Below are 22,360 nucleotides of genomic sequence, written 5' to 3' on the forward strand. Positions count from 1 at the left end.
TAGAGCAATGCTGTGAAAATATATACAAAGTCCATAAAAATGAAATATGCTGTCCTTCAAATATAAACATGCAAAGATGATACAACTACCACATTGCCAGTAGTAACACTTCCTGCTAATTTCTCTCCCCTACCTACCCATAACAGTGATTTTTATTACTGAATAATCCACATTTTAAAACTTAGTTTTACAGCAAGCTTGTCCAACCCATGGGCCACATGATGACTTTGAATGTGGCTCAACATAAATTCATAAATTTTCTTTAAATATTATGAGTTTTTTTGTGTTTTTTTTATTTTATTTTTTTTAAACTCATGAGCAATCGTTAGTATTAGCGTATCTTATGTGCGGCCCAAGACAAGTCTTCTTCCAATGTGGCCCTGGGAAGCCAAAAGATTGGACACCCCTCTTCTATAGTAGGGACTCTTGAGATGGTTGAGTGTGATCTTGATTCAGATAAAATAACATAGAATAAAACTTCTCTGTACAGAGCCTGTTGTTTGGACTGGAGACTACATACCATAATTACTGGAAACCAAGCCTTAAAAAAGTCTAACAATTGACAAACATAATTATATTTAAAGGTTAAAGAAAGATGTAAGTTCATTAATCCTCAGGAAATAGGATGTCCTCCTTGACACCTCAGTCTCAAAAACCACACCTTTTCCAAAGAGTTATACTGTTTATATTATTACTTTGCAATATATCTTAGAACTCTAAAGCTAGTAAAAAAAAGAAGGTAATACTCATAGCCAGAGGGCCCACTTAGCAATGTGGCAGGACAACGAATGAAGGAGTGGCTCTAGACAGTCTCCCTGAGGGCTGTGAGCAGGGAGCCCACTTCATCTCCCTAAACATGTACCGTCGTCTAGGAATAGGCAGTTTGGTATGGTGAGGATAAGAAGTACTGAGCTAGACATGACTGCCACTAGCTATGTGAATTCTAACATGTCAGCCTCTCTGATTCTCGGTTTCACTGTACAGAAATTGAGTAATAAAAGTTTTGAGGTCCCAGAAGCTCTAAAATGATTTCACTCCCTATGATTTTCATGTTTACTCTACTTTTCAGAGAGTTTTGTTGAAGATCAAATAAGGATATATATGAAAGCACTTTATAAATTTTCATACAAATGCAAGTTGCTGTTATTGTTTCATAGATTTTCTTCATTACACTAGAAAAGCATGGAAACAGTTTTGAGATACAATATAAGATGTTTACTACATGGTAAGGCATTTAGATGGGCTATGCCCTAAAATTAAACAAAAAATGTTAAAATTGTAATTTTTTTCTTCTAAAAATTACTCAGGGAAGATGTTATAGTTTTAATTTTTATAGGATTATCTGATTTGTTAAGAACTTAGACTAATAGCTTAATGAACAGTTCCTAAAATAAGCATCTCATAGGAGCTGTATCCAGCTTTTCTGGATACAAGTAACCTATTACTCACATAGATGCCAGCTGTATTCAAAGAAAAAAATACATTTTAGAATCCCTTTCATATTCATTCCTTGGATAATTCTTTTACCTAGAGCAGCAGTACCCAACTTTTTTGGCACCAGGGACCAGGTTCATGGAAGACAATTTTTCCATGGACTTGGGGGCAGGGGATGAGGAAAGGTGAACGGTTTTGGGATGAAACTATTCCACCTCAGATCAGGCATTAGATTCTCATAAGGAGCTCACAACCTAGATCCCTACGTGTGCCGTTCACAGTAGAATCTAATGATGTCACTGATCTGACAGGAGGCGGAGTTCATACAGTAATGCTCCCAGCTCTACCACTCACCTCCTGCTGTGCACCTAGGCGTGTGGGTCGGGGGTCAGGACCCCTGATCTAGGGAATAAAATGTGAATTCCTCAGTGCGGTATGATTTGACCCAATCTACCTCTGCAAACTTAGTTCGCCTTAAACACATTCATCTCACCTTTTCCAGTCAAACCAAGACTCAAACCACTCCCCAGCCATACCAAGCTCTCTTCTAAGTATTGTTAAAAAAAAATTATTCAATGATACTTGTTAAAGCACAGTAAGAAAGACTTTATTCAGGGCTACTGCAGTAGGTACAGGGACTACTGCAATGGGATTTTGCAGTTGGGGAGAAAGATTGGCTGAACTCCAAATACAGCATGGGCAAGTGGGAAAGAGGAAAGTCGAGAGAAAAGGAGTAATCACGAGTGGCTCCTAGTTATCTCTAAACAACTGGGTGAATGGTGCTGTGGAATACTGGGATTAGGAAAACTTGGTAGTAGGGGAAGTGGAGGTGGAGGGAAGGGTTTTTGGGGCAAAAAACCCAAGAGTTCCATTGGAACACATAAAGTTTGAGAATATTTTAGCTCTCCTATTCCTCTTTATTCTGGTGACACTTTGTTTACACTGTGATTTCAGAATTTGTCACATTCTGACTTAATTTGGTGCATACTTATTTGTCTCCCTAGCCAGACTAGAGGTTCCTGAAGGCAGAGACTGTAACATTTACTCCACATGCTAAATAGATGGCCTTAAACAAGGTGGTCACTTAAAATGATTTTAGAATGAATAAATGAAGCATTCTAGAAATTGTGAGGAATACAAATCAAAGAAGAGAGAAATGCTTACTTTTCTAGCAGTCTCCGTTACCTAGAACTCACCTTGAAAAAGATCAATAAAAGTTACAACAGAACATAAACCCACTGCAGAGTCTAGCACTCTAGCATGTAAACCCACTTACATATATATAAAATCAACCCCTACTCTTAAGTCTCCTAGCATGAGCGCTAATGGGCTCATACTTACTAGCTCTGTGTAAATAGCTTTCTTTTATACTGTCCAAAGGCAAATATCGACAGATGTGACTTGTATATTTCAGATAGGTTTTCAGTGAGATTTTTATTTTTAAACATTCTATTTACATGATTTGTTTTTGTAGTCATGTATTTCAGATTCTAATAGATTATTCGTACAATCAACACTTAATTATTTATCCACTTTACAAACTGATTTGAACACTGAATAGAATCACAGAATTTTTAAAGCAGAAACTCACCATAGCCAGAGCCCTCATTTATTTGGAGGGATGAGAAAACTCTGGCCTGAAGAAACTGCTCAAGATTCCATGTTTAGAAATAGAGTTAGGTCTGAAAACTAGCTCACCTGGTTCCTAAGGCAGGATTTTTTTTCATAAACACTGGCTTCTTAATAAAAGAGATTAATTTGGCCATTTTGAGATGGACCACATATTATGCTTTTGAAATTTTTCTGTTCAGTGATATCTCAATGACATTTCTAAGAAAGATACGCCTTAAAATGAGGTTAGACATATTAGTAACCAAATGGCTTAATGGTCATGCTTCTGAGATAGTATGTGCAGGGATATAAATATCCCTCTTATGGCCTACATGGCCATGGAAACTGAAGCGAAATGGAGCCAATCCTATATATAATTGTGAAGTCTGAAAGGCTTGCCTTTATCATATCCCTCTTTCCCTTTAATTTGTCTCAGTGGTAATCCTTCTTCCCATTTCAAAGGCCTTCCTACCTATTCCCTCTGCTCTTTCCCTTTACAAAAAATGAAAAAAAAATTTGTATGTATTATCTATATCTTGTTGGCAGACAGACATAAGATACTGCTTAAATGAATTTTAAACAATATATTAACTCAACCAGATATTTACCTTCTAAGCTCTTAATCCTGAATTGTGGAATGAAAAGTTTGTTCCCAGACAGCTGGTAGGGATAGAGTGGTGGAGAGAGGTTCCCTCCCTCCTAGTTATAAGAATGACAAGGTCTGAAGCCAAGCCAAGTATCTATTTAGGGCGAAAAGAATAATCTAAAGAAGTAGTACATGACGCAGCTCCACTGGAAATAACAATAGCCCACACTATTACTTTAGTTTCTGGCAGATATCTGGAACACTAGAAATTAAACATTTCTAAGGTTTGAGATAACTGTTATTAATTATTATAGTGACTTGAAATTAGATTTCAAAGTAGTTCAAAGTTAGCTTACACATATTCATCATGTTTACAATATAAATATGTTATATTCACATAGCACCTTATGCTTATAGTGTTTTCATATGTGCAATCTCATTTAAACTTCAACAATATATAATATAAATATCATTTTCAGTTTTCAAATGAAGAGTCTAAGGTTTGCAGGTAATAAGGGTTATAAAAGGCACAGCCAGGGTTGAGCATAAGAGTTGTGAATCCAAGCATTTTCTCACTATAACATGTAACCTATACAGCAATATTAAAATAACTTGTATATGTAAGTTCCAAATACTTTCAAGGTAAAAAAGTGGTATATATTGTCCTCAAATTTCTAAGTAAATTATGCTGATCTTCTCATACGCAAATTTTCTTTTTCATATAATTTTTGTAAAAGATAATTGTTATTTTCAGCTTTCTTACCTTTCTAAAAGAATTCAGTAATAGAAAAAATACTGTCAAAAACATATAGCTAATGAACAGAAAAAGTCATCTTTCAATACCACAAAAACATTTCTCACTTAGATGTTTTTCCTTTGACATCCTTTAAAAACCTTATTGAAACTCATTTAAAATATTTGCCAAAACAATTGTATAGTTCACTTCAGTGATTCAGTATAGTTATGTAACAAGCTTTTTTGCATATTTTGTTAATTTGCCCTTTAATGGGATGTGATATCACTACAGGTTACATCCTATTTCTGCCAAAATGTATTTTACCTTGGCTTTCCTTGAAATGAATTATAACATGGGATTATCCATCTATGATGGGTTCTTTATCTAATTGGGAAACTGAATCAGATTTAACATCATGCAGGTTTAAAACTCACGTGTTTTGCTAGTTTTAAATTATTATCTGTTAATAGCACATAGGTTCAGTGTATCTACTGTTACCAATTCCAAACTTACTTTTGAAATAACCTTGGTGATTTTAAGGACAAAAGAGATGCTAGAATATAATTTGTCAAGTGTAAAAACCGACCATTATGAGCTTTATTTCTAAAGAAATAAGTGATATTCATCAACACAACAAGCATCTGAACATTTAAAAGAATTGTCAAAGTAAGAAAGGGGCTCACCGGTCTGAGTGAAACCAAACTGATGTAGAATCTCTTGAGCGGTCAGCATGTTTGACTGCTTTAACTTAGACTGTTGTGAGGAAACTGCTGGTGGTGAAGTAAATGAGAGATTTTTGTTGACCTGTATTAGGAAAACAAATCAGAAACTACAGTGTAATTTCCTGGATTACTAATGCAAAAACTGGATGAGAAATATTTGCTTATTATACAAACCAGGACACATGATAGGTCAAAAGGAGTGGTAATGATGTACATGGTTAGTTTGTAAACTTTACAAAAGAGAATCATTTTCATCAAGAAAAAAATATAATAGTAATTAGAACATAGCTATATGAAAATAAATCAGCCTTACTGAAGTTTACCATGGACTTGACATTATTAATAACTTAGAGTGGTCTTAAGTTATGCAAAGTAATGCAAGAAATAAAAATGACTCCTTGACTGGTTCAATTAAGGAAGGGTAAAAATGTTTCATATTCACATTTCCCTAGCATTTTAGTGAAATAGCAAGTACTTCCTTTTCAGAGATACACAGAAAACACCTGTACTACTCATGTTTATATACATCATGGTGACACAGATAACACAGCTGTAACCTAGCTTGCCATGTGAAATAGTATCCATTGCATCAAAACACCTTACTCAGGATACTGTTTAAAAATATCATTAAAATAAGAAGGAAAATTTCTGTAAGTAAATACAATGTTCTATAACATACAAAACCTAGTATGATTATCTGAGTGCACACTAGCCTCACAGAAATGAAATGCATAATAAACACAACATTTTAACTATAGCTCTTGTAGGAAAATAAATAGTTCACTGAAAAAGCTTGAAATGTTTATAGGCAAATTCATCTTGTAAATCAGAATTCGTTTCAGAAAAAAAATCTATCTTTTTTTCATTATTAACAAATCAATCATTTAATCTTTTTCATTACTTTCAAAAAGCACAATAAAATGTGATCTATTTTGGAGAAATTGACAGTCTGATTCCTAATTCACTTCAAAAATGTAATCTGTAAATAAACAAAATGATAATTTATGGCATATAAATATTACTATATTAAAACAGCCCCTTTCCCATTTTTTTGTTAAATAATGAAAACCATACAGAGGACTTCTACTGTGCAAGCATTTAAAATTTTCCTTTTGATGTTCTGTATAAGACAATACTGGGCTCTTGTTACATGCCCTTTATCTGATTCATTATTTACATGTTTGTAAATTTTTTTTTCTATTTTTTGCTTTTAAACAGTGATAATAAACAGTATATCTTAGTTTAGGTTTTTCTCTTAGAGCAGAGTTAGCAAATTCAGTGAAAAAGTCAATTAAGACCATATGTTAATATGGTTTTAAAGTAACTAAACTATTATGTCATCTCAATAAAAAATAAAAGTATTTTCCAAAGTAGTTGGGGGGGTCAAATACCACATCAGTCCTAAAATATCACCCAGCTTTAAAAATTCTATCAAAATCCATTAAATACAGATCAAAACTGACCAGTTATAGTGATACAATACCTAAAACAACAAACTCATTTGATATCTTTGAGCTTCACTTTCCATCTTTAAATGGAGATAAGAAAAATAATATCTATACTTCAATGCGAATGTGCCAGGAAAGCAATAATGATGAACGGGTATCATAAAGTGCTATTCATATGTTAACCATAAAGCACTAATGAACATTAAATAAGAAATAGATTAAATAGAATATCTTGGCAAGGGCAAACCATAAAGTAGTATACAAATAAGGTGTTATATTAGTTATTATTAACATCACTAGAAGTAAGGGTAATTAGGTATTTATGATGTCATATGATGATGTAGCCAATTTTTCAGAGTTCTGTGCTTTCAAATGGAAAAGAACATATTTATCACTTAACTATTTAATTCACTTCTTTTTGGAATCATTTCTCAGTTTTACTTCCTGAAAATTTTTATCTTAAAATCAAGTAATGCATTTAAAAATCTGGTGCAAACAAACAGGTGTATGCTGGAGAAATGAAGATATATCTATATACACACACATCTTTGCACACACACACACCTACATATATCCATATCTATAGATATAGATATATCTATAGATACACACAATAGCCATTTATAGTCTTCTTCTTCAGAAATTTGTGTTAAAAACAAAAAATACCTGGAAAGTTAAAATAGGATACTTAAATGCCTCTGTTCAAACAGAAAGACTTGTCATTCTTTTACAACAAAATTTTTTTTTAAAAAACCTGTAATCTATAATTATATGTTCTTCCTAAACATTTTTATAATTCTGATCTTTCTTGACATAGTTTTTTACAGACTATTCAAATGTCCATAAAGTGATGAGAGCAGCAACGTAACAGAGCAGATAATTTCTAAAGTTTGGGGTAACTGTTAATTATTACTGTTATTATTAGATATTTGTTTTGAAATTAGAACTCAAATCATTTTCAAAGCAAGCTCGTACATATTTATTATTCCATTTAGAGGAAGAAAAATAATAATAACCATTAAATAGAGTGAAGCAATATCTATTTTTGAAATATGTGCTGCGGAAAAGAATTGCTTAATAATTTTACAACAACAGAAAGGTTGGTTAAGATAGTCTACCCTACACCAATCTACCCTCTTTTCACAACACCCTTTTCTGTTTGCTTCATGCAAAAACCACAGTCTGCCAAAGTCAGTTTAATACCTCCATATTGGAGAAAACTAAAAGCATAAAAATTTAATGAAATTCATAATAAAGAAAAAAAATCATCTGGAACTTCTGCCAAGTTAATCATAAAACTGTTTTGCCTACTCTTTTAGGGTATAAGCAGACAAGCAAAATATGCAAATACTAATTCTCTAGACGGGGGTTAATTTTCATGTTAAAAAACTTGCTGCTCTGAACATGAAATTGAATGCACAATATTAAGCAAGCTGACAATTAGTTTCTCTTTTAGTGATTAGTTAAAATTTAAAACCTTTGGGAGATATATAGTACTCATTTCCATGTATACTTACAAGTCTACCCTTTTAGCTAATTTTAGATAACACGCTACATTCACCTGAAGAATTGTTTATGAAGTTTCAAGCTGTGATGATATCATATCTCAAGTTGGTTTTAAATTATAACCGAAAGAATGTTAATGCTGTCTGTATACTTAAAAGTTCACAAATTCATCTCTCTCCCAGACAGCTGTCATATTTTTCCACTAATATGAATAATAATGCAGATAATATTTTAATCTGATGGCAGTTCTGGTGGCATTAGAAAAAAAGAAACCAATAATACCCAGGATGTTTTTTTTTTTTTTTTTTTTTTGCAAATCATGTATCTGTTGTAAAAATTAAAATATCAGTATTAAAGAAAAAGTTAAACAGAAAACTTGAGCCAAAGTGAGGTTCAAGATATTTGAAGTCAGGTATCTTTTACATTCTCATAATATAAATTTTAAGAGTAGCTTATGCTCTTGTGATTTCTAGCTTAGTAAAGTCTAAGCAATGAGTAGTCTATGGTATTATAAAGAGCAATTCAAATATGACCCCTCAGTCCTCAGATGTTTTCTTTACAAGCCAGGACAGAGAAGTGAAGGATTTGGAAGACAACACTGTAACTGTTAAAGAAAAATTTCTACAGCAATAAGATACCAGAAAAATCTTACCCCCAAACCAGTTCATTACTACTACATTAGCTAAAACCAGTATTCAAATTTGAATCAGTCACTATAAAGTTTTTTGGTTATATTTAATCGTGATTTTTGACCCTCTGATAGGTACCAAGGACTGGTGGTTCACAGATTACTGATATGACACTTTCATGTCAATTTCAAAATTAAGATCTAGTCCTGGCTCAAACCAATTATCCAGCAATATTCTTTAGGGTAAAGCAATTTACCTCAATGCATCTTGGTTTTCTCAAAACCTTTACCTCCTTTTCTCTCTTAGTTCACTGCCTTGCTTCACAGAGAAAATTTGGTCTTGAACCCCTGAACTTCTCATTTCCAAACTTATGAAAGAATGGACCTCTCCCACCTATCCTTATGTCTTTACTTCTAGGGTTAGAGGAAGAGGAGCATTCTGTTCAAGATTCATCCCTCAGTCCCCTTAGGGTTATCCTTAAAGCTCTTCCAAATTCTACCTTCAGGCCAGGCCCAACGACTAATGCTTATAATCCCAGCAATTTGGGAGGCTGAGGCAGGAGGATCACTTGAGTCCAAGAGTTCAAGACCAGCCTGGGCAACACAGTGAGACCTCATCTCTACAAAAAAATAAAAAATTAGCTGGGCGTGGCAGTGCACACCTGTGGTCTCAGCTACCCAGGAGGCTGAGGCAGGAGAACTGCTTAAGTCCAGAAGGTCGAGGCTGCATTGAGCTGTGATGATGCTACTGCACTCAGCTTGGGTGACAGGGAAGACCCTGCTTCAAAACGAAAAATTCTACTTTCGAATTCCTACTGGCTATTTCCCTGCAGGTTAGAAGCATAGACCCTTCTATTTTAGTACAAAAACAAAGAGGAAACAAACCAACTAAAACTCTCCCTCTGATTCCGTTACTTCCTTAAGCTTCGTTAAAAGCTAAACTCCTTGAAAAACAGCACACAACTGCAATCCATATATCTGAATCCTTCAGTCTTCAACCGGGTACAACAAAGCTTGTCTCCATGATAAAACTAAATTGGACTTATGGTAACCCTGGACTTCAAATGATCAAATTCAGCAGATTCACTTAGGCCTCTATCCTTCTATCTTTGTTTCTGGGGAGCCATCTTCTCTTGGTTATCCTGCTATGTCCAGCCATTCCTCATCAGTGCTATTTGTTAGATCCGCTGAGCTCCTCTTCTTCCTTCACGTCACATAATTACACTGGGCAGAAACATTTGTTTTCATCAATTCATCTGCCTTCTAATGCTGATGTTTCTTAAATCTAAAACACATCTCCTGATCATTAAGTTCAAAACTAAACTAACCTTTGCCCCACTGTTTACTTTCTTAGGGAAAGCCATCATTCTCCACCTACTTGCCAAGGCCAGAAAGCTGGGACTCATACTAGATTGCTCACCACGCTCCACATATAGATTACTATAGTTTGTACTACTCTTCCAGTTAAGCCAGTCTTCCAAATAGTGCCAACATAATAAATCTTTTTTTAAAAACTCTTCTTTTAGGTCCAGGGGTGCATGTGAAGCTTGCACAGGTAAACTCGTGTCACAGGGACTTGTATGGATTATTACATCACACGGGTATTAAGTCCAGTCCCCAATAGTTATCTTTTCTGCTCCTCTCTCTCCTCCCACCCTTTGCCCTCAAGTAGACCTCAGTGTCTGTTGTTTCCTTTTTGTGTTTGTAAGTTCTCATCTTAATTTGCAGTTATCCAGTTTTGGAATGCCACGAAAAAATAATTATGTTTTTAAAAATTATTTTTTAAAAAAACCTTTCCAAATAATTGAAAAACACTATTCTACTCAAATCTCAAAAATATCCAAATATACGTTTTAAACAGAAAAATTAAAAAAATATTTTCTCTGGATTCTCTATTTTCTGAACCTTTAAAAAAATGTTTTCAGTGAATAATATGTTCCGAGGTGGATTCGACTACAATATACATTACCACTTTACCTTTACAGCACTCTTCCACTAAACATAACTCAATAAACTTCAACTTGGCTGAATTTATATTCATCTAGGGTAGGTGATGTAATACTTCAAAAAAAAAAAAGATGAAGTTTCCTGGCTTCAAGAAGCTTACAGAGGTGTGTGGAGGGACAGATACATAAAGATTAGAAGCGAAAGCAGTTATTATGTAAAATTTAAAGAGACAGAAAAAGAGAGTGTGTGTTATTCCTCCCTGAGGTAATTTATAATCTAATGTCAAAAAGAAAAAAATTAAGCTGAAAGCTAAGTCATTCAAAGAGTTCCTTTTCTTTTTATTCATAAGCAGATAGCTACAGATAAAAGGTTAAATATCTCCGCAGGTAGCTTTCATGTTCACCTTATCTTTTGAAAAGTGTCAATTTACTGAGTGTGAGATGAATACATAATTGACTATCCCCCTACATGCATCTTTTCTCTTGCAACTTGAGGATTCAGTAATGTGACCATACCTTTCTTTTCTCCTCCAGCCTGTTTTTTTCCCTTTAAATATTGAAGCCCCCAAAATCATCTTTGGAGAAAGGCAGACCCACAGACTGTGTCTGTGATTCTTGTTTTTTCTTCTGGGTCCTATCCTTAACCTCAGCAAAATAAACTTCTAAATTGTTGAGACCTGTCTCAGATACTTTTTGGTTTACAATTGTTTCCCCTTGCTTGCTCACTACACTACTTAAGCAAAGTGGTCTTCTTTCTGCTCTTTGAGCATGCCAGTTTTCTTCCTAGATGAGGATTTTTGCAGGACATGACTAGCTCCTTGTTAAGTGTTTCTCTCAGCAAGGCCTTCTATGACCATCCTCTTGAGAGTAGCTTCCCTTCCCAGTCATTCTTTGTCCCATGAACCTATTTTATTTTCTTCACATCACTTATTATCTGAAACTACCTTATTTGTTTCCTTTTAAGATTATGTGTCTCTCTACAATAAAAGGTTCTTGTTCACTATTACATTCCAAGCACTTAGAAAAATACTTGGTAGATACTCAATAAATACTTGCTTAAAGAATGCTAATGGAAAAAACAAGCGAGCCTTCAACAATATAAAAATACTGTAGAAGGGCAAAAACTTATGTAACGGACACTTGGGAAAAATTTATTATCCTAGATCTAATAGATGATAAACTGCATAAATACACTCTGTTGTTAAGATTAAAGATTTTTGACAAGGGTGCCAACACCAGTCAAAGGGCAAAGCACTCTTTTCAATAAGTAGTGCTGAGACAACTGGATAGCCTCATGCAATAGAATGAAAGTGGACCTATCCATCATACCATATACAAAAATTAATGCAAAATAATCACAGACCTGAATGTAAGATTTAAAACTATAAAAATCTTAAGAAGAAAACATAGGAGTAAATCTTTGTGACACAAGGCTAGAAAATGGTTTTTTATTACAACACAAAAAGCACAAGTGACAAAAGAAAAAATAAACTGAACCTCATAAAAAAACCTTTTTGTTTCAAAAGACATCATTAAGAAAGTGAAAAGACAATCCACAAAATGGGATAAAATATTTGCAAATCATCTAACTCATAAGACACTTGTATCTAGAATATATAAAGAACTTAAAAGTAAACAATAAAAAGACAAAAAATCCCAATTTTAAAACCAGGTGAAATATTTAAACAGACATTTCTCCAGAAAAAAAAGTACAAATGGCATATAAAAAACGCTCAACATCATTAGTCATAAAGAAAACACAAATCAAAATCACTATGATATAACCACTTTTCACCCACTAGGATGGCTATAAAGAAGAGAATACAAGTGTTGGTGAGGATGAGAAGAAACTGGAACCTCATTCGTACACTGCTGGTGGAATTCGAAAATGGTTCACATGCTCTGGAAAAAGTTTTGGGAGTTCTTCAAAGTGTCAAACATAGTTACCATATTACCCAACAGTTCCACTCCTAGATACATATCCCATAGAAATGAGAATATATATCCACACCAAAACTTATACACACAATGTTTGTAGGAGTATTATCTTAATAGCTAAAAAGTAGAAACAACCCAAATGTTCATAAACTGATCAAATATAACAATACGTAACCTATTCATACAATGAAATCTTATTTGGCAATAAAAAGTAGTGCAGTTGACCCTTGAACAACATGAGTTTGAACTGTGCAGGTCCACCTATAGGTGGATTTTTTTTCAGTAAGTTACACCAAGAGTGCCTGCCTCTCCTGCCTCCCCTTCCCACTTCTCCACCTCTTCTGCCTCTGCCCCCAGTGAAATAGCAAGACCAAACCCTCATTTTCCTCCTCAGGCTATTCAATGTGAAGACAAAGGAAGACCTCTATGATGATTCACTTTGCTTAATGAATAGTAAATGTACATCCTCTTCCTTTTAATTTTCTTAATAACATTTTCTGTTCTCTGGCTTACTTTAAGAATATAGTATATAATACACATAACACATAAAATATGTGTTAACTGTTTACATTATCAGTAAGGCTTCCAGTCAACAGCAGGCGATGAGTACTTATTTTTTTGGGGAGTCAAAAGTTATACATTAATTTTTGACTGCACAGGTGGTTGGTCCCCCTAATCCCTGTGTTGTTCACTGATATATGTTACAAATAGAGGAATCCTGAAAACGTTATTTTGAGTAAAAGAAGTCAGTTATAAATGACTACATACCATCTGACTCCATTTATATGAAATGTTCAGATTAGACAAATCTATAAAGCATATTAATGGCTGCCAGGAATTTGGGGTATGTTCCAAGAGTTTGTATTTGGAGTGTGTATGTGTAGGAATTGGGAATGACTGCTAAGAGATATGGGGCTTCATTCAGGGGTGATGAAAAACTCTAAAATCAGATAGTAGGGATGGCTGCAAAACTTTGTGAATATGGTAAAAACCAGTGAACTGTATATTTTAAAAGAGTGGGCATTACGGTATATAAATTATAGCTCAATAAAACTATTATAAAAAAAGAATAACTGAAGATACTAGTAAGGTTAATTTTTCCAGACACTGATTCATTTCCAAATTAATCATTTTTTCAATGAGTATTTATTCTACCTTTATTAAATACTAGGGATATGAAGATGAATGGCATGATCCTTCACCCTTGGGGAGTTTCCAGATTAGTAGAGGCTGTTCTCCATAAAGCCTTGCTCAATCTGTGCAGGACACTTTATTCTCTGGACATTCAGACAGCATTCCAAAAGAAGAGTATGCAGTACATTTGTTAAATAAAGAGAAATAGCTTTGAATTGCTAGTCAGAAAATAAATTGTATTTTTGCCTCTGATTTTATACACAATGAGTACTTCAGAAGGTTTAGTAATCTTGGAGCTACAATCATTACACCAATCATTGCTATCAGGAACGTTTCCTGAACATCTGCAGTACAAGTCAGAATATAGCTTGTTCTCTTTTCCCCCCTCGTCTTCCTTCCCCTTGTCTATATTCCATATCCTGTTGACTTGTGATAATTAGGTATAAAAGTGATGGGTTCTGTGACTGATGCTGGACAGCTCAGTGATGGGGTAAGTCTTGTATTTTCTGACATGTTCCTCCCTCCCTAACATGCCCCATCAGGAAAGCGACAATAGCCTATTGCATTCCAAGTGCCTACTACCAAATGGTAGTAGGTGCCCACTGAATTAAAAAAAAAAAAAAATTCCATTGCACTGACATTATATGAAGCAGTCTCTAAATATACTAACATTCTAATTCTTTCCTTCTGGATGTTTTACCTTCTCTTTGTGATATGTAATTATATTTGTTAAATGAATAGACGTCTAATTATTCAACTGAATTTTGGGAGTGGACAGAAGAGGGAAGGATGAACTCATGTTGCCATTCCAACTCCTTATTTTCCCAACACCTAAATTAAAAGTTACACATAAAATAACCTTGCTTGTAAAAGAGGAAAGCTGCTGTGTTGAAAGCATATAAGATACAATTTAGTTGAAATTGTTTACTAATCGAGAGCCTTTTTGTACACTACCATTTTTAGACTAACTTGGGACCTTGGGCAAATCACTCAACCTGAATAAACTTCAGTCTCCTCCTTTCTAAAATTGGAATAACAATTATATCTAATCCATCTCTCAGGATTATTATACAGTATAGTTAAATGAGAAAAGAAATGTGAAAGACTTATAAATGAAGGAGAGCATTATCAGTACAATAAATCATTTATGTACAGCTTGCATGCATTTCAATGCTTATACAGTTTACTCAGCATATACCTACTGGAACTATATTGACCGGTGTCTTATACAAATTAAATATCATATAAAATTTTTCTCAGAGAATGACATGACCTTGTTGATCCTTTACTGAAAGTATCTCCATCACTTAGTATTCTTAAATCTTTAAAAATGTGAAGCTACTTGCTAAATGATCACCCTTACTAAATTATCAGCTTCCAGTATTGTAATTCTGTGATAAAGCTGAGCTCCAATAATGAAAGTACACATCAGATTAACTCTTATAAAGGTTCCAAACTCTATGAATGGTGCATTCCAGTTCTTTGGAGCATCACTATACCTTTGAAGTTATCTTCCTGGTAATAAAAACTACTTACTTTTGCAGCACAGGAACGTATCACCTCCTAAAAGAAATACAATAAAATAAGGAAGTATTCATAATTTCATTAAATATTGACTGTTTGCAAAACACTCAGATGTTTATCTTCTAATAACCTAAATCAGCATTTGGAAGTTTCTTTATCCATTATCCTGCCGTTGTCACTCTGCATTGTTTCCAATGAAAGAGACTTAATGACATGTTCAAGGTAAATCTAACTTGCCCAAACAAATGGCACTGTGAAACTCCCGAGGGCTCACAGGTTATCTGCCTCAAGAAAAACTTGCTCTTCAATCAATAGAATAAAATTCTATACTAGAACACTAACAGGTGTAAAAGACACATGCTGAGTTAAATGCAATATATAATTATCTCTATAAATAATAATAGCCATAACTATCATTCCCATATTATTTGTATCAGATGAAATCTAATATTAAATAGTAAATACTACTAAATGATAAAATATATGACTATTATTGAAAGAGCTACAGAAAGGAACTCTGTACAATTCATGGTACACGGCCAAGAAAAGATCATTTTGAAAGAGAAACTAGTAAAAGTCGATGTATTATGGACAATTTGAAAATCTGCTGCTAAGGAGAGAGTAAAAATACTCAAGTCTGGCCGGGTACGGTGGCTCACGCCTTGTAATCCCAGCACTTTGGGAGGCCGAGGCAGGCAGATCACGAGGTCAAGAGATCGAGACCATCCTGGGCCAACGTGGTGAAACCCCATCTCTACTAAAAATACAAAAATCAGCTAGGCGTTGTGGCGCGTACCTGTAGTCCCAGCTACTCGGGAGGCTGAGGCAGGAGAATCACTTGAATCTGGGAGGTGGAGGTTGTAGTGAGCCAAGATTGCGCCACTGCACTCCAGCCTGGGCGACAGAGTGAGACTCCAACTCAAAAAAAAAAAAAAAGAAAAAAAAAAGAAAAAGAAAAAGAAAAAGAAAAAAAAATACTCAAGTCCAGTCCAATTAGGAGTTAGCCAGCATATAGCATCAGCCTAGTACAGTGCTAGTGAAAAATGGTCATAATCAACATGGAGTTTAGGAAAAAAAAGAACTGAAAAAAATAGATACTTCTCAGTTATTGGGAGCATTACCATTTAGTCATAATATAAATCATTTAATTATTTATCAGCATACTTGACTGCATGTTGCTGCCACAGCAATACCTAAAAGCATTCTGCAACCTAGGTAAGACCTCACAGGTGGACAGTACCTTGAGAACATCGGTATATCTCATTCTAAGTTTTTAGATCCAGAAATTTGATTTTATCAGTGCATCCACAGTTGCTCAAAATCTGGAATACCTATTAATTTTTTTATCTATAAATTTCTAAGAGCCAGATACTGTATCTAAAGCGTATCAGTAATTCAGTCACTAAAAGGAGACAGTTAAACTGACTGTGGACATGGGAGTCCAACTACCTGGGCTGAATCCCAGCTCCAGTGCTTACTACTTGTGTGATCTTGGTTATGTGGCTTGATCTCTGTAAGCCTCAAAATCCTCTTCTGGAAAATGGGAATAATACTCAACCCTATAGGATGGTTTGAGAATTAAATACAATAAAATGTAAAGCCTTTAGCACAGTGCCAGAAATATATCAATTATTACTAATAATTAAGCAGATGTTAGTTATCATTAATCAATATATACGGTGGTATCTCCTGTGGGGTAGAGAAAATTAATCTTTTTTCAAAATTGGCATAAAACATTTTCGAACCCATTCAATCCATACTCCTATGGCTCTACTTAGCAATCAACTCTGTGATCATTAGCCTGGGCTTCAGGTTAAATTTAGACAGGATGAGATCTTGAGTGTTCAGGCTGCCAGAATGGTCTACCTTTTATTATATTATAAGGTGTATTTTCATGGATTCTCATTTGTTAATCAACTTTTTGTAGGATTGATTAATCTTAATAGATACTACAGATTCTGAGCAACCCTGGATGCACTGATAAAATCAAATTTCTGGATCTGAAAACTTAGAATGAGATTTACCAACGCTCTCAAGATACCCGTGAAGTCTTACCTGGGTTGCAGAATGCTGTTAGGTATTGCTGTGGCAGCAACATGCAGTCAAGTATGCTAATTATGAAATAATTAAGTGATTTATATTATGACTAAATGGTAATGCTCCCAATAACCGACAATTATCTATTTTTTGTATCTTTTACTCATTAATGCCTAAACACCTATTATATACCTGCTGAACTGAATTTATTATGCAATTCACTCACACATACCCCACAAAAATTACACCCTAAACCTGTACCATAATTTATTAGAAAAACATTCCTATTGTAATAAAAAATAAATAAAAAAAGGAATTTGGGGTCTACTGAAATAAATGGCAAGAAACGAGAAAAGGCATAATGACAAAAGGTGGGAATTCAGTCAACCTAAATGTTTGCACAATATAGAATGAGGCTGCCATGGGAATAAAGACGACACTTTGTTTTTATTCCCATACATACTATGTACATTCTGAAAGAAAATACATTGCAGATAGCATCAGAAAAATAAATTCAGTGAATTCTCTCAACAAAGGAAAAATAATGGTTTTTAAAAACCAAAGCAAAACTTTCATTTCCAAAGGCAGCTTCTATCTACCTCAATACCAAAGCAGACATATTCTCTAAATAATTTTAAAAAGAAATGATATGCTAAAAGCTAAATAAAGTAATAATTCAAAGTAAATTTTTTTATAATAAATTATCAATTTGCTTCTCTCTTGCGTTTGATTTCATTTCTTAAAAAACATTTTTCTGCCGGGCACAGTGGCTCATGCCTGTAATCCCAGCACTTTGGGAGGCCGAGGTGGGCGGATCACAAGGTCAGGAGATCGAGATCATCCTGGCTAACACGGTGAAACCCCGTCTCTACTAAAAATACAAAAAGCCTACTAAAAATACAAAAAAAAATTAATCGGGCGTGGTGGCGGGCACCTGTAGTCCCAGCTACTCGGGAGGCTGAGGCAGGAGAATGGCGTGAACCCAGGAGGCAGAGCTTGCAGTGAGCTGAGATCGTGCCACTGTACTCCAGCCTGGGCGACAGAGTGAGATTCCGTCTCAAAAAAAAAAAAAAATTTCTGATTTTATTTTTCCTTTACATCTACTTTCTTTAGTTCTTACATCCTTTCATTTATCTGAGGATGACAGGTATATAAAATGAAATTAGAAAAAAGCTACAAGACTTAGTTGATTCCAGGATGTTAAGTTTTACAGAATAAAGACGGATAGACTGTAGGAAACTTGTTTTTATAAATCTGTTGGTGAGTTGTTTTTATGCCTGTAGATGAAGTTACTTTGCCATGCAAGTTTTTAGACAAGGAACACATTTTCTTTTTTTTCCTAGTGAAGAAATATGTTTCTCTTCATCTTTAAAGCTCAATGTATCTATTCAGACTTCCTTTTAAAATCTGGAACAGCATGCATTATTTGATTATATTAAAAATGTTAAAATACAAAGAACTGCAATATTGAAATAAATTTATTAATTTATAGTTATATATTCTAAAAGTTAACTAAGAAATATATATACTTTTCTATATTCCTACATTTATTCTGGGTTTAGGTTAAATCTAAACCCAGAGATGGAATGTAATCTGCATCCTGATACACCTTCAAGTCTCTAACTTTAGAAAGAAGAGAGAGGAAGAGAGCATAGTCAGAACTAAAGCTGTCTCAATGTAGTTCCTTGTATAGTTTAAAACTAATCAAGATATCTATCAAGGAAGCAAGAAAAGGGATAACATTTATTAAAGAAGGTAAGAATAAAACAATGAACAAGGGTGCACAGCCCCTGTCTTCAAGGAGCTCAAAGTAATTCTAATAAAAGGACTTCCACTTAATTCTACTAGAAGTATGGTCAAAGATATTTCTCAGGATGCTTAGGCTTCTTACTACATTTGACCATTTATCTTTGAGAAAAATTTTCTAGGAATTTTCACTAACAGAATGCTACACTACCTTTAACAAAGCATCTTCCTCCTCATCATTTTCATGATCTATTTTCCAATTTTATGGGAAATACCTGGTTTATGTGGTACTTTTCTTATGAGTAGTGAGATAGAACTTTTAAAATATGCCTATGAAACATTTCTATCTCCTCCTTTTAGAAGAACAGTTTATTTCTTTCACTCATTTCTTTGTTAAAGATTTACTATTTTTCTTCACTGTTTAATTATTTGCATGTTAAAAGGGCTGTTTCTTTAATACATTTTATATAAACATTTCCCCAGGCTGGTGTTTGTTGCACATATATGTGTGTGTTTGTATGTTTTGTATATACACACAAATATACACATCCTTATATTTTTAAACAGAGAAATTTAAAATTCTATGTCAATAATCTATTAATATTTTGGGAGAGGATCTTCCACTGCTTTTAAAATTAGTATGTTTTCATTCATTTGAGAAATAATTGCAAGTGTATTTCCCTAGTTTTTAAAAAGATCTGGATTTTCATATTTAACTCCTTGGTAAATGAGAATTTGATTTAGGTGAGTGACCTAAGATATATATGTAAATGGACTGTATTTTTCAGTTAACTCATAGTTAACAAGGTTTCCCAACACCATACAAGGGAACAATTCTTCCTTTCCCCACTGATTTATCTTTCTATCTTAGTGAATTTCAATTATACTACTAGTATTATTTCAGCTTCATTATTACTTTGGCTCTCATGGAGAAGTTCGAAGGTAGCTTAGTTCCTATGTAGATAACCAGTCTTTTTTTCTCCCCCCCATTATATCTATGATTTTTCTTTAAGAAATCTTTAAAAATCAAGCGATTTCACTAGGATATTTCTAAGATACTGGCATCTTTTCATTAATTGGTCTGGTAATAGATACTTTCATTTTATAGATTTTGGGACTTTAGCACAGGAAGGCCTTTTGTATTTGATCTTTGTTATCTCTTTTCACACATGCTGGTCTCTTCTTTAACAACACTGATCAACTATATGCACAATCTATCTCATATTCATCTCTTCTCTCATTATCAACAATAATAACTAACATTTATCAGTGGCACTATGTATCAGACACCCTGTTAAGAGGTTTACTTTTAGGGTCTTACTGAATCTTAAAAATCCTGTAAGGTAAGAAATACTACAATCCCCATAATGGCTCATGCCTGAAATCCCAATACTCTGGGAGGCTGAGGCAAGAGCACTGCTGACTGCTTGAGGCTAGGAGTTGGAGACCAGCCTGGGCTACATACCAAGACCCTGTCTCTACAAAAAAAATTTTTTTAATTAGCCAGGCCTGGTGGTGTGTGCCTACAGTCCCAGCTACTCAAGAGTCAGAGGCAGGAGAATTGCTTGAGCCCAGGCGTTCGAGACTGCAGTGAGCAATGATCACACCACTGCATTCCAACCTGGGCCACAAAGTGAGACCCTGTCTCTAAATTAAAACAAAACAAAACAACCAAAAACCACCTCATTTTATAGATGAGGAAAACTAGGTTTACTTAAACTTCTCCAGTCAAAAAGCTGGCACAGGTTGGAGCCTATGCCATTCCTATGCCTAAGCAGCTGGACCCCAGAGCTACACTCTAAACCATAGTTTTCACCTATCTCTTTTTTTCTGTATTCTTGCGTGCTTCTGAAATTAGTTCTCTACGCTACACTATTGATCTGGTATTTTAAAGTGTCAACTTTCTCTTTTACCATTTGCAATGTGGAATTAATTGAAGCTTACCTTTTGATTTTCTTTAAATTCATTTTATCTTAGATGTCTTTCTAAAATCAAAATCTTGGGACTCTCATCTCTTCATTAATAGAAATTCTGTTTTCTTCTATTTTACTGAGAACACACTCTAAATATTCTGTTTCTTATAGCAAAGCATTTTAAGATACGCTTTGCCTTTACTTATTTTCCTTTTTTGGGGAAGCAGGGACACAGTCTCATTTTGTCACCCAGGCTGGAGTGCAGTGGCAGGATCTCGCCTCACTGAAACCTCTGCCTGTCTGGTTCAAGTGATTCTTGTGCCTCAGCCACCTGAGTGGCTGAGATTACAGGTGTACGCCACCATGCTGGGCTGATAAAGTCACAGCTTCTCTTTCTTTCCTAGGAGATGGAGTCATACCTGTATGCTAAGTCCTAGGTGTGGTCATCTGGTTCAGAGCCCTCCCTTATCACTAGGTGCTGGGCTAGCCTTTACAGAGATATCAAGTCAGAACAGCATGATAGATTATCCTAAATTCAGGTTGTCTGTTGCAATTAAGGTTTTAGGAATAAGTACCTGAAAGGAACCATAAAAGTATAGGAAGGTCTAATTTTAAGTAATTAACTTACTTCATTAAATGAATATTTATTGGCATGGCAATGTAAAACAGGATAGAAATAGTTTTAAAGTTTCAACTGCATAAAATAAACTTACTGTGACAGTTTCAAGCCTCTGTTTTACTAGCTGCATCTTCGTTGAAGAACTTTCAGTGTGGACAAATTCATCAATCTGAAAAGAGCCTTGATGGGGTAGTTTTGGACAGGTACATAGGGCATCTTGACTTTGGTGTATTCCAGGTAATGGAAATGTTCCATTGTAGCGTTTGAACATTTCAGCCTCCTGCTGGGCAACTGAAGAAATGAATCCATAATTAGTTAAATCATCATAGCAAAAGCATAATCAAGCCCTAAAACTGTAGCATTCAACAAATAATCAGAAACTGCATAACACATCTTAAAAACTGGGTAATAATAAGACACCATAACTAGCAAAATTTGAAATTATTCAATGCTATAAAATCATAAGGAAGCAAATAGAATTTCATGTCAGGCAGCATTATAATTGAGCTGTGAAGGCCATGTAAACTGGGATGGGAGACTAACTTTAAATATATGTATATAGAAAAATAATACTAAAAAATCAAAGGCATAACAGAATTAAGGGAAATGCTAAAATAATATTTATTCACAAGCCTCTCTAAAACAACTATTTTCATATTTCTGTACCCTTCTTAATTTTTACACACACATTCTATATATCATAATGTAAATACAATTTAACATTTCTCAATTTAAATGCAAGTATTTCTTACATTTCTACAATGACGTAATTATAATTATTAAATGTTTTACAGTATCTCATTTAATGAAGCACCGTAATTTTTTTTTTACA

General features: G+C 34.3%; 1 protein-coding gene across 22 annotated transcripts in view; it reads right to left on the reverse strand.

Annotated features, from left to right (window-relative positions):
- AHI1 (Abelson helper integration site 1) overlaps positions 1–22,360 on the reverse strand; it is a 214,209-nt gene that overhangs the window by 106,194 nt on the left and 85,655 nt on the right. For all 22 annotated transcript variants that reach the window (XR_001743480.3, XR_007059277.1, XR_007059276.1 and 19 more), the window contains 3 exons: positions 21,623–21,819; positions 15,226–15,252; positions 5,051–5,171 (listed from right to left, as the gene is read on the reverse strand). Coding sequence is in view for 19 of the 22 variants with exons in the window: in XM_047418943.1 (XP_047274899.1) it covers positions 5,051–5,171; positions 15,226–15,252; positions 21,623–21,819 (345 nt within the window). In the remaining 3 variants the exon portion in view is untranslated. The remainder of the gene's footprint in view (positions 1–5,050; positions 5,172–15,225; positions 15,253–21,622; positions 21,820–22,360) is intronic.

Source organism: Homo sapiens, chromosome 6 (genome assembly GCF_000001405.40).
Source record: "Homo sapiens chromosome 6, GRCh38.p14 Primary Assembly".
In the NCBI taxonomy this organism is placed as follows: domain Eukaryota; kingdom Metazoa; phylum Chordata; class Mammalia; order Primates; family Hominidae; genus Homo; species Homo sapiens.